A 12,078-nucleotide genomic window follows, 5' to 3' on the forward strand; every position below is an offset into this window, starting at 1 on the left:
TTATTGGCATATAGTTGCTCATAGTAGCCACTAATGATCCTTTGAATTTCTGCAGTATCAGTTGTAATGTCTCCTTTTTCATCTCTGATTTTATTTATTTGTATTTCCTCTCCTTTTTTCTTAATCAGGAAAAAGGTTTGTCAATTTTGTTTAACTTTTCAAAAAACAAATGTCTTGTTTCATTGATCTTTTGTATTGCTTTTAAATTTCAATTTTATTTCTGCTCGGATCTTTGTGATTTCTTTTTTTCTACTAATGTTGGGTTTGGTTTGCTCTTGCTTTACTTATTTTTTAAGATGCATCATTAGATTGCTTATCTGAAGTTTTTCCTGTTTGTGATGCAAGCAGTTATAGCTGTAAACTCCCTCTTTGTACTTGTCTTGCTGCATTCCATAGGTTTTTGTATGTTATGTTTCCATTATTATTTTTTTCAAGAATTTTTTCAATTTCCTTCTTAATTCTTCATTGACCCACTGGTCATTCAGGAGTGTATTGTTTAATTTCCATGTATTTGTATAGTTTCCAAAATTTCTTGTTATTGATTTCTAGTTTTTTTTTTTTTTTTTTTTTTTTGAGATAGAGTTTTGCTCTTATTGCCCAGGCTGGAGTGCAATGGTGCGATCTCAGCTCACCACAACCTCTGCCTCCTGAGTTCAAGTGATTTTCCTCCCTCAGCCTCCCGAGTAGCTGGGATTACAGGCATGCACCACCATGCCTGGCTAATTTTTGTATTTTTAGTAGAGACAGAGTTTCTCTATGTTGGTCGGACTGGTGACAAACTCCTGACCTCAGGTGATCTGCTCACCTCAGCCTCCCAAAGTGCTGGGCTTACAGGCATGAGCCACTGCACCTGGCCAATTTCTAGTTTTATTCCATTGTAGTCAGAGAAGATGCTGGATATTAGTTCAATTTTTTTTGTGTGTGTGAGAGGGAAGCATTATGTTTCTGCCTATCTAGGACACGGAGCTGGTGCAGCCCAGTTGCCCTTCACAGAGACATCAGTGAATCTTACTAGGAGCTCCTCTCAGCCATACTCATCAAATCCCGTGCCTGTGCTCATCACTGAGGTATTTATGGGCAAGCCAGCTTTGCCCAGCTGTGGCCCTGCATCCCCACAGAACAGGAAGCTCAGGGAACTGGGTACTCCAATGTCCAGCCTATCACCTTAAACAACAGAGAACATCTCACAGTAAACAAAGATCCACTACATACCCATCTGCTTGTGCCACAGCTGGTTCTTACCTGTAAGTGCCATCTACTTGCTTGTAAGTTGAGTCAGACAGTTTAATGTAAAATCTGCCGACAGAGGGCATAGGGCTGTAGAAGAAAAGCCAAAAGACCTTGCCCAATATACTCTACAGTCACACCCCATAGGAAGGGAGGGAAGAATAAAGGAAAAGAAAAAAATAATAGGAAAAGAAAAAATTCTATCCACAGAAAAATAATCTAAAAAATTAAAAGTGGCAGCCTCTCCAAATAAGAAGGAACCATCATGAGAATTCTGATACCATGAAATATCTGAATCTTGTAAAGCACCAAAAGATCATGCTAGCTCCCCAGAAATGAACCCTAAGCAAAATGGGGACTCAGAAATGACATATAAAGAATTCAAAATATAGATTGCAAGGAAGATCAGTGAAATTCAAGACAAGAATGAAAATCAACACAAAAAAACTACTAAAGCAATCTGGGAAATGAAGAAAAAGATAAACATCTTTAAAAAAATCAATCAGAATTCTGGAATTGAAAAATTCACTTAAAGAATTTCAGAATACAATGGAAAAATTTATCAATAGAGTAGACCAAGCTGAAGAAAGAATTTCAGGGTCTGAAGACCACTCTTTTGAACTAACCCAGTCAGATAGAAATAAAGAATTAAAAAAATGAAGAAAGGGTTTGATTAATATGTGATTATGTCTAGCAACCAAACCTATGAATTATTGGCATTCCTGTGAGAGAAGATAAAGTAAACAACATGGAAAATGTATTTAAGGGAATACTTCAAAAACTTTTTCAAGAAAAAAGAGCAACAAAGTCTGGATGACAGCACATCTGTTTGCATCATAATTTACTGAATATCTGAGGACCACTTTTGAGCTCTACCACTCAGAAAAAAATTCTTTTGAAAATATTACTGCTGCTTGACAATGCAGCTAATCATGGCACCCATGATCTCTGATGGAGATGTATCAGGAGATGTTTTCATTACTGACAACACAACATTTATTCTGCAGTCATGAATCAAGTAGTAATTTCAACTTGTAAGTCTTATTTGATATGTACAGTTCAGAAGGCTACACCTGCTAGAGATAGTCGTTCCTCTAATTAATGTGTGCAAACTAAATTAAAAACCTTTTGAAAAAGATTAAGAACATTTGTAATTCATGGGAGGATTCAAACTATCAATATTAACATGAATTGGAAGAAATTGATTCCAACCCTCATAGATGACTAGGAGGGTTTCAAGACTTCAGTAAAGAAAGTAAATGCAGGCCAGGTGCAGTGGCTCACACTTGTAATCCCAGCACTTTGGGAGGCTGAGGCGGGCAGATCACGAGGTCAGGAGATCAAGACCATCCTGACCAACACGGTGAAACCCTGTCTCTACTAAAAACATTTACAAAAAATTATCCAGGCATGGTGGTGGATGCCTGTAGTCCCAGCTGTTCGGGAGGCTGAGGCAGGAGAATGGCATGAACCCGGGAGGTGGAGCTTGCAGTGAGCCAATATCGCGCCACTGCACTCCAGCCTGAGTGACAAGCAAGACTCCGTCTCAAAAAAAAAAAAAAAAAAAAAAAAAAAAAAAAAAAGTAAATGCATGCAGATGTGGTGGAAATAGCAAGAAAATTAGAAATGGAGCTTGAAAATGTGACTAAATTGCTGCAATCTTATGATCAAACTCTACTGGATGAGGAGTTGCTTCTTACAGATGAGCAATGAAATTGTTTCCTTGACAATGAATCTACTACTGTTGAACATTGTTAAAATGATGAAAAAAGGATTTAAAATATTATATAAACTTTGTTGGGGAAGAAGTAGCAGGATTTCAGAGGATTGATTCCAATTTCAGGAGCAGTTTTACTGTGGATTAAATGTTATCAAACAGCATCACATGCAATAGAAAAATTTTTCATGAAAGGAAGAGTCAATGTGGCAAGCTTCATCACTGTCTCATTTTAAGAAATTTTTACAGCCACTCAAAGATTCAGCAAACACTACCATGATTAGTCAGCAGCCATCAACACTGAGGTAAGACCTTCCACTAGCAACAAGATTATGACTTGCTGAAGACTCTAATGATCATTAGCATTTTGTAGTCATAAAGTATTTTAAAATTGTTATGCACACTTTTTATATGTAATGCTATTGCACACTTAACCTACAGTATAGTGTAAACATAACTTTTTTTTTGAGGTAGGAAGTATTTATTGAAAATTGCATAAAACACTGCATTTTAAAATGTAACATGATTTCATTTCAAATATAATTTTAACAGATATGGAATTGTAAATTTATTGACAATTATTAGGAAGTGCCTTCTTGTTGTATATTGATTGATGATATTATTCTTTCTAGTTTTTTTTAGTCATTATTATTATACTTTAAGTTTTAGGGTACATGCGCACAATGTGCAGGTTTGTTACATATGAATACATGTGCCATGTTGGTGTGCTGCACCCATTAACTTGTCATTTAGCATTAAGTATATCTCCTAATGCTATCCCTCCCCACGCCCCCCACCCCACAACAGTCCTAAGAGTGTGATGTTCCCCTTCCTGTGTCCATGTGTTCTCATTGTTCAATTCCCACCTATGAGTGAGAACATGCGGTGTTTGGTTTTTTGTCCTTGCGATAGTTTGCTGAGAATGATGGTTTCCAGTTTCATCCATGTCTCTACAAAGGACATGAACTCATCATTTTTTATGGCTGCATAGTATTCCATGGTGTCTATGTGCCACATTTTCTTAATCCAGTCTATCATAGTTGAACATTTGTGTTGGTTCCAAGTCTTTGCTATTGCGAATAGTGCCGCAATAAACATATGTGTGCATGTGTCTTTATAGCAGCATGATTTATAATCCTTTGGGTATTTACCCAGTAATGGGATGGCTGGGTCAAATGGTATTTCTAGTTCCAGATCCCTGAGGAATCACCACACTGACTTCCACAATGATTGAACTAGTTTACAGTCCCACCAACAGTGTAAAAGTGTTCCTATTTATCCACCTCCTCTCCAGCACCTGTTGTTTCCTGACTTTTTAATGATCGCCATTCTAACTGGTGTGAGAAGTTGTCTCATTGTGGTTTGGTGTGAGAAGTTATCTCATTGTGGTTTGGATTTGCATTTCTCTGATGGCCAGTGATGATGAACATTTTTTCATGTGTTTTTTGGCTGCATAAATGTCTTCTTTTGAGAAGTGTCTGTTCATATCCTTTGCCCACTTTTTGATGGGCTTGTTTGTTTTCTTCTTGTAAATTTGTTTGAGTTCATTGTAGATTCTGGATATTAGCCCTTTGTCAGATGAGTAGGCTGCAAAAATTTTCTCCCATTTTGTAGGTTGCCTGTTCACTCTGATGATAGTTTCTTTTGCTGTGCAGAAGCTCTTTAGTTTAATTAGATCCCATTTCTCAATTTAGGCTTTTGTTGCCATTGCTTTTGGTGTTTTAGACATGAAGTCCTTGCCCATGCCTATGTCCTGAATGGTATTGCCTAGGTTTTCTTCTAGGGTTTTTATGGTTTTAGGTCTAACATGTAAGTCTTTAATCTATCTTGAATTAATTTTTGTATAAGGCATAAGGAAGGGATCCAGTTTCAGCCTTCTACATATGGCTAGCCAGTTTTCCCAGCACCATTTATTAAATAGGGAATCCTTTCCCCATTGCTTGTTTTTCTCAGGTTTGTCAAAGATCAGATAGTTGAAGATATGTGGCATTATTTCTGAGGGCTCTGTTCGGTTCCATTGGTCTACATCTCTGTTTTGGTACCAGTACCATGCTGTTTTGGTTACTGTAGCCTTCTAGTATAGTTTGAAGTCAGGTAGCGTGATGCCTCTGGCTTTGTTCTTTTGGCTTAGGATTGACTTGGTGATGCAGGCTCTTTTTTGGTTCCATATGAACTTTAAAGTAGTTTTTTCCAATTCTGTGAAGAAAGTCATTGGTAGCTTGATGGGGATGGCATTGAATCTATAAATTACCTTGTAGCCCATTTACATTTAAGGTTAATATTGTTATGTGTGAATTTGATCATGTCATTATGATGTTAGCTGGTTATTTTGCCTGTTAGTTGATGCAGCTTCTTCCTCACATTGATGATCTTTACAATCTGGCATGTTTTTGGTGGCTGGTACCAGTTGTTCCTTTCCATGTTTTGTGCTTCCTTCAGGAGCTTTTTAAGGCAGGCCTGGTGGTGAGAAAATCTCTCAACATTTGCTTGTCTGTAATGAAATTCTGAGTTGAAAATTCTTTCCTTTAAGAATGTTGAATATTGGCCCCCACTCTCTTTTGGCTTGTAGAGTTTCTGCCAAGTTATCTGCTGTTAGTCTGATGGGCTTTCCTTTGGCGTAACCTAACCTTTCTCTCTGGCTGCCCTTAACATTTTTTCCTTCATTTCAACCTTGGTGAATCTGACATTTTTGTGTCTTGGGGTTGCTCTTCTTGAGGAGTATTTTTGTGGTGTTCTCTGTATTTCCTGAATTTGAATGTTGACCTGCCTTGCTAGGTTGGGAAATTCTCCTGGATAATATCCTGAAGAGTGATTTCCAGGGTGGTTACATTCTCCCCGTCCCTTTCAGGTACAGCAGTCAGATGTAGATTTGGTCTTTTCACATAGTCCCATATTTCTTGGAGGCTTTGTTCATTTCTTTTTACTCTTTTTTCCCTAAACTTCTCTTCTTGCTTCATTTCATTCATTTGATTTTCAATTACTGATACCCTTTCTTCCACTTGATTCAATCGGCTACTGATGCTTATGCATGCATCATATAGTTCTCATGCCATAGTTTTCAGCTCCATCAGATCATTTAAGGTCTTCTCAACACTGTTTATTCTAGTTAGCCATTCGTCTAATCTTTTTTCAAGGTTTTCAGGTTCCTTACCATGGGTCAAACATCCTCCTTTAGCTTGGAGAAGTTTGTTATTACCGACCTTCTGAAGCCTACCTCTGTCAGTTCATCAAAGTCATTCTCCATGCAGCTTTGTTCCATTGCTGGCAAGGAGCTGTGATACTTTGGAGGAAAAGAGGCCATGTGGTTTTTAGAATTTTTGACTTTTCTGCTCTGGTTTTTCCCCATCTTTGTGGTTTTATCTACCTTTGGTCTTTGATCATGGTGACCTACAGATGGGGTTTTGGTGTGCATGTTCTTTCTGTTGGTTAGTTTTCCTTTTAACAGTCAGTTCCCTCAGCTGCAGGTCTGTGGGAGTTTGCTGGAGGTCCACTCCAGGGCCTGTTTTCCTGGGTATCACCAGCAGAGGCTGCAGAACAGCAAATATTGCAGAACAGCAAGTATTGCTGCTTGATCCTTCCTCTGGAAGCTTCATCTCGGAGGGGCACCTGGCTGTGTGAGGTGTCAGTCAGCCCCTACTAGGAGGTGTCTCCCAGTTAGGCTACATGGGGGTCTGGGACCCACTTGAGGAGACAGTCTGTCTGTTCTCAGAGCTCAAACACTGTGCTGGGAGAGCCACTGCTGTCTTCAAAGCTGTCAGACAGGGATGTTTAAGTCTGCAGAAGTTTCTGCTGCCATTTGTTTAGCAATGCCCTGCCCCCAGAGGTGGAGTCTACAGAGGCAGGCAGGCCTGGTTGAGCTGTGGTGGGCTCTACCCAGCTTGAGCTTCCTGGCTGCTTTGTTTATGTACTCAAGCCTCAGCAATGGTGGATGCCCCTCCCCCAACCAGACTGCCACCTTGCAGTTCGAACTCAGATTGCTGTCCTAGCAGTGAACAAGGCTCCGTGGGCATGGGACCTGCTGAGCCAGGCACAGTGTAGAATCTCCTAATGTGCCATTTGCTAAGACCATTGGGGAAGCACAGTATTTGGGTGGCAGTGTCCTGATTTTCCCAGTACAGTCTCTCATGGCTTCCCTTGTCTAGAAAAGGGAAATCCCCCAACCTCTTGTGCTTTCTGGGTGAGGCGATGCCCCACCCTGTTTTGGCTTGCCCTACATGGGCTGCACCCACTGTCCAACTGGTCCCAATGAGATGAACAAGATACCTCAGTTGGAATTGCAAAAATCAGCCATCTTCTGCATCAATCACCCTGGGAGCTGCAGACCGGAGCTGTTCGTATTTGGCCATCTTGGAATGAGGGGCCTCTATTTTTATTATTTTTTATCTTTAGATATTAACAGTCTGATTGTAAAGTTTATATGGAGAGGCCAAAAAACCCAGAACAGCCAATGTTAAGGAGAACAAAATCAAGTGATTAACCTTGTCTGATTCAACTTCAAGACTTATTATGAAGCTGCAGTAATCAAGACAATGTGAAATTGGTGAAGAAACAGTCAAATAGATTAATGCAAGTGAGTAAAGAGCCTGAAATAGATAATCAGAAATACAGCCAACTGATCTTTGAAAAAAAAGCAAAGGCAATTCAATGGGGAATAATAGTCTTTTCCACAAAGACTAATGGAGTAACTGGAGATTCACATACAGAAAAATGAATCTGGAAATAGACCTTACATCTTTAACGCAAGTTAACTAAAAATATATTATAGATCTAAATACTAAATGCAAAACTATGAAACTCTGGTAATATAAGGTAGGAGAAAATAAAGATGACCTTGATCTGGCAATGGTTTTTAAAATACTACAATGAAGGCACAATCCATGAAATAAAGAATAACTAAGCTGGCCTTTATTAAAATTTAAAACTTCTACTCCACAAAAGATAGTATCAAGGGAATAAGATGACAAGACACAGACTGGGATAAATATTTTTCAAAAGATATATCTGATAAATGATGGCTATCCAAAATTTTTAAAATTCAACAATTAGAAATCAGACACCTTGATTAAAAAAATGGGCAACGGGTCTGAACAGACACCTCACCAAGAAGACATACAGATACCAAATAAATATATGAAAAGTACTAATCATTAAATGTCATTAGGGAACTGCAAGCTAAAACCCCGATGACATACTATTACACACTTATACACTGGCTAAAATTCAAAACACTGATAGAACCAAACACTGGCAAGGATATGCAGCAAGGAGAACTATTAGTCATTGCTGGTGGAAATGCAAAATGGTACAGACACTTCAGGAGACAGTTGGGCAGTATCTAATAAAACTAAAATATGTTTACTATATTATCTAGTAGTTGTGCTCCTTGGCATTTGCCAAATGAATTGAAAATATATTTCCACACAAAAATCTGCACATGGATGTTTATAGCAGTTTTATTCATCATTGTCAAAAATTAGAAATCACCAAGATGTTCTTCAATAGATAAATGAATAGACAACATGGTAAACCTATACAATGAATGTTATTTAGTGTTAAAAGAAATGAACTATCAAGCCATGAAAAGACATGGAGAAATTTTATACATATTAGTAAGTTAAATCTTAAAAGGCTACATACTGTATGATTCCAAACATATGACATTCTGGAAAAGGCAAAACTATGCCAACACTGCAAAGATTATTTGTTGCTAGGGCTCGTGAGGAAGAGAGGGTGAACAGGTAGAGCACAGAGGGTTTTAAGGGCAGTAAAGCTATTTTATATGATACTACAATGGTGGATACATGTCATTATGCATTAGTCAAATCCCATAGAATGTACAACACAAAGAATGAACCCCACAGAAACTATGAGCTTTGGTTGTTGATGTGTCAATGTTGGTTCATTGATTGTAACCTATGAGAGTTCTTGATTGTGAGAGGCTGTGTGTGGGTGCAGGGAAAGAGGCATGTGGTAATTATATACTTTCCACTTTCCACTTAGTGTTGCTGGAAACCCCAAACTGCTGTTAAGAAATACATTTTTCTAAAGCCTACTTTAACCCACCATTCTAGTCAAGCTGAGGTTTGTATTACCCAGTGACTGTGGAGGGCTTAATGTTGATACTCCCCTGATCACTTGGACTGAGATGTGAATTCTATGAGACGGGATGTGATATGTCACTGAACTGGGAGTTGAAAAACTGTGATTCTAAGTCTTATACTGAGGCATTGTGATACTTTGTCTCACTGAGTCAACAATTGCTCATTTAAAAAAAAAATCAATTCCTGTTTAGAATAGTTGATCTCAGAGATCCCTTTTGTCTTCAAATTATCTATAATTCTTTCATAGTATAAACTGAAAGATCTAGGGAGGAGCCTCAACTTAGCAGAAGAGAGGAGGAGCAGAACTGGAACACCTAGCTCTCAAGGAATGAAATGATTATTCTAAAGAGAGCAACCAAGCTTATCTTACCCAAACTAAGGTAGTATATTTCTGTTAGAGTTTAAAGTTACGTGAGTCAGGGACCAAGTTATTGCTTTTCTTTGCCCTGTATAAAGGGTTCTCCAAGGCCTTGGACTCACCCAAGTACTAAAGGTTATAAAACCAAACTCTTCTGACCCCCAATCTAGTCAACTTGGGCTGTAATTATTAATGAAATTAATATTTATTTTGAAAATCATTTACTAGACTGAATCACGAAATACTGAACCATTGTACACAATCAGTAAATATCTGTGGACTCAATTGAACTGAATGTTTTGCTTGAAATGAAACCTTCAAGATGCAGGGCTTATGAATTCTAGTCTCAGCTCTAGCACCAGCAGACACCATGTTCTTGGCTACAGTACTGAATCTTCAAGGCTCAGCCTCCTCATTCCTGAGATGGGTCAATTTTATTGTAAGCAAAGGCAATTGAGAGATTCCAAAGGGATATGAGGTGTGAGAATTCTCTCTAAATGGGGTTAGAATCCCTGTTAAAAATGACCAGTGAAACATTGTGCAATTGTGTCTTAACATAACTTACTTTTTCTTAATAAGAGAACTGGAAATAACCTCATTAGGAAATTTAGAACAAATACGATGATATCTTTAAAGAAAATGGCTTTGTGTAAGTATTGTCGTTAGTGATCTAGTAATGTGTATCTTTCTGGTTGTATTTAGACCTTCAACTCAAATGTCAGCTCCCGTTAAGGTCTATACATTGTGGTGGTTTTGTGCTGTGGGTCCATTTAGTGATTTCCCTACCTCCCATCCTCTATTAGATTCACAACTGTTGTTCTGCCCATAATTTCCTATGCTTGCTTTGCATTGTTACATTTTTTTTTGAAAATCAGAAAGCAAAATCAATATAAAGCAGCCATGTCTGGAGGAGACCAGGAGGTCAAGAAGCCTTAGTTTCTCAAGCCCTTAGCACCAAATTCTCTGAGATCAGCTCTTCCTTCAGTTACACTGAGCGTTTCCCCTCTGCAGTGATGGAGAAGGGAGAACTCTTATTTTTTCTCATGAGCATCTCTGGGGCTGTTTTCCTTAGATAAATAAGTGGTTCTATTTAATGTGAAGCCTGTTTTATGAACAGGATGAATGTGGTATATATTCAGAATAACTAATGTTTGGAAGTTGTTTTGTTTTGCTAAAACAAAGTTTTAGCAAACGATTTTTTTTTTCAAATTTGTGTCTTCTGTTCTCAAAGCATCTCTGATGTAAGAGATAATGCGCCACGATGGGCATCAGAAGACCTCAGCTCAAATCCCAGTTCTGCCAGCTATGAGCTGTGTGGCACCAACAGGTGTCCTGTTCTCCCAGGGTCTCCCTTTTCCCATTTGAAATATAAAAAATAACAATTCCTGCCTTCACGTGTTTTTTTAGGGGGTTAAATGGTAAAGGTGTTTATATCTGCTAAGGTAATTTACTTGATATATGTTTGGTTATTGAAGATATATGAGTTATGTTAGCTATTTCATGTTTAGGCTGCTGTATTTTTAGTAGGCTATATTAAATAGAGGATTTCATTATAAAGGACAAAGTCTCCTAATCTTCGATATAGGATTGACATACTTTTTAAATATACAAGGCATAGAATATGGCCATTTCCGTTAAATCATAAATTCCCAACTGGTTATTAATCTAAGAATTCAGAATTTTAAGTAATTGTTTTTGCATCAGATTGTTTACTTCAGTGCTCTCAATTATGACGGTGCATTGGAACCACTTGGGTTAACATTTTTTTGTTTTTATTACCAATACCTAGGCTTCAACCTAGTACAATGAAACCAGAATGTACAGAGTGGGCACTGGGACGAAGGAGAACAAGACCAAAGGACATTTTATTTTTATCTCTATCAGTGGGTCAAAGTCCTTTCAGAAGGAGCATATAGTGGGCCTAGGTGATTGGCCACTTTATCCATCAAAGAGGCACACACACTTAATTAGCATGGAGTGTTATAAAAAGCTTGGAGTGCAAGCTCACGGTTGTCTTAACAAGAGGAGAAGGCTTCAATGGATCCTTTTGTGGTCCTTGTGCTCTGTCTCTCATGTTTGCTTCTCCTTTCAATCTGGAGACAGAGCTCTGGGAGAGGAAAACTCCCTCCTGGCCCCACTCCTCTCCCAGTGATTGGAAATATCCTACAGATAGATATTAAGGATGTCAGCAAATCCTTAACCAATGTAAGTATGCTCCTTCAGTGGCTTGCAAAAGGTAAGTAAATTCACCTGTATTTTTTAAATAAAGTATATCCCTAGAGGTACAATGTTACAAGAGATCATTGTAAAGTAAAATACTTTGAAAGGCTTTTGTTGCCTTTTCCAGTCTGTCAGTGTCAGAAATAGTGGAATGAAATAATATATTTTGTTATTAGAGAAAGATTTAGGTCTTTGCATGTTAAATTCAGAATAACAAACTGTCAATAGTTTGAAATGTTGTGTTCCTTCTTTATTTCATAGCCATTTGCTAGAATTTTTGGCTGAGGGTAAACAGTAAGGGAAGTGTTTGTTATTAGAGATTTTATTAAATAAGTCCTCTACTATATTAGCCATGTGTTTTATTCAGAATAGCCGTGAAAATTGAACTTCTCTGAAGAAATAATTTATGCCTGTTGTAAAGGAAGCAGCTGTGGGTTTAGGACCAGCAAAAGCAG

General features: G+C 38.1%; 1 protein-coding gene across 1 annotated transcript in view, besides 9 other annotated features; it reads left to right on the forward strand.

Annotated features, from left to right (window-relative positions):
- Positions 6,667-6,961: an enhancer, noted in NCBI's record as "tiled region #9306; HepG2 Activating non-DNase unmatched - State 24:Quies". NCBI's record gives its function as "activates a minimal TATA promoter and a strong SV40 promoter by Sharpr-MPRA in HepG2 cells {active_cell/tissue: HepG2}" and the evidence as "EXISTENCE:reporter gene assay evidence [ECO:0000049][PMID:27701403]".
- Positions 9,476-11,439: a promoter, noted in NCBI's record as "-1.9 kb promoter". NCBI's record gives the evidence for it as "EXISTENCE:reporter gene assay evidence [ECO:0000049][PMID:16540586]".
- Positions 9,547-9,566: a protein binding site, noted in NCBI's record as "CAR-RE, proximal". NCBI's record gives the evidence for it as "EXISTENCE:protein binding evidence [ECO:0000024][PMID:12869636]".
- Positions 9,547-9,566: a protein binding site, noted in NCBI's record as "CAR-RE, proximal". NCBI's record gives the evidence for it as "EXISTENCE:protein binding evidence [ECO:0000024][PMID:12869636]".
- Positions 9,684-9,710: an enhancer, noted in NCBI's record as "GRE". NCBI's record gives its function as "mediates response to glucocorticoids" and the evidence as "EXISTENCE:reporter gene assay evidence [ECO:0000049][PMID:12869636]".
- Positions 11,251-11,269: a protein binding site, noted in NCBI's record as "DR1-A". NCBI's record gives the evidence for it as "EXISTENCE:protein binding evidence [ECO:0000024][PMID:16540586]".
- Positions 11,266-11,295: a protein binding site, noted in NCBI's record as "GATA site". NCBI's record gives the evidence for it as "EXISTENCE:protein binding evidence [ECO:0000024][PMID:20206639]".
- Positions 11,277-11,306: a protein binding site, noted in NCBI's record as "ERE". NCBI's record gives the evidence for it as "EXISTENCE:protein binding evidence [ECO:0000024][PMID:20675569]".
- Positions 11,286-11,304: a protein binding site, noted in NCBI's record as "DR1-B". NCBI's record gives the evidence for it as "EXISTENCE:protein binding evidence [ECO:0000024][PMID:16540586]".
- Positions 11,416-12,078, forward strand: part of CYP2C19 (cytochrome P450 family 2 subfamily C member 19) — a 92,867-nt gene continuing 92,204 nt past the window's right edge. The window contains exon 1 of the mRNA NM_000769.4: positions 11,416-11,608. Coding sequence (NP_000760.1) covers positions 11,441-11,608 — 168 coding nt within the window. The 5' untranslated portion in view covers positions 11,416-11,440. The remainder of the gene's footprint in view (positions 11,609-12,078) is intronic.

Source organism: Homo sapiens, chromosome 10 (genome assembly GCF_000001405.40).
Source record: "Homo sapiens chromosome 10, GRCh38.p14 Primary Assembly".
NCBI lineage: Eukaryota > Metazoa > Chordata > Mammalia > Primates > Hominidae > Homo > Homo sapiens.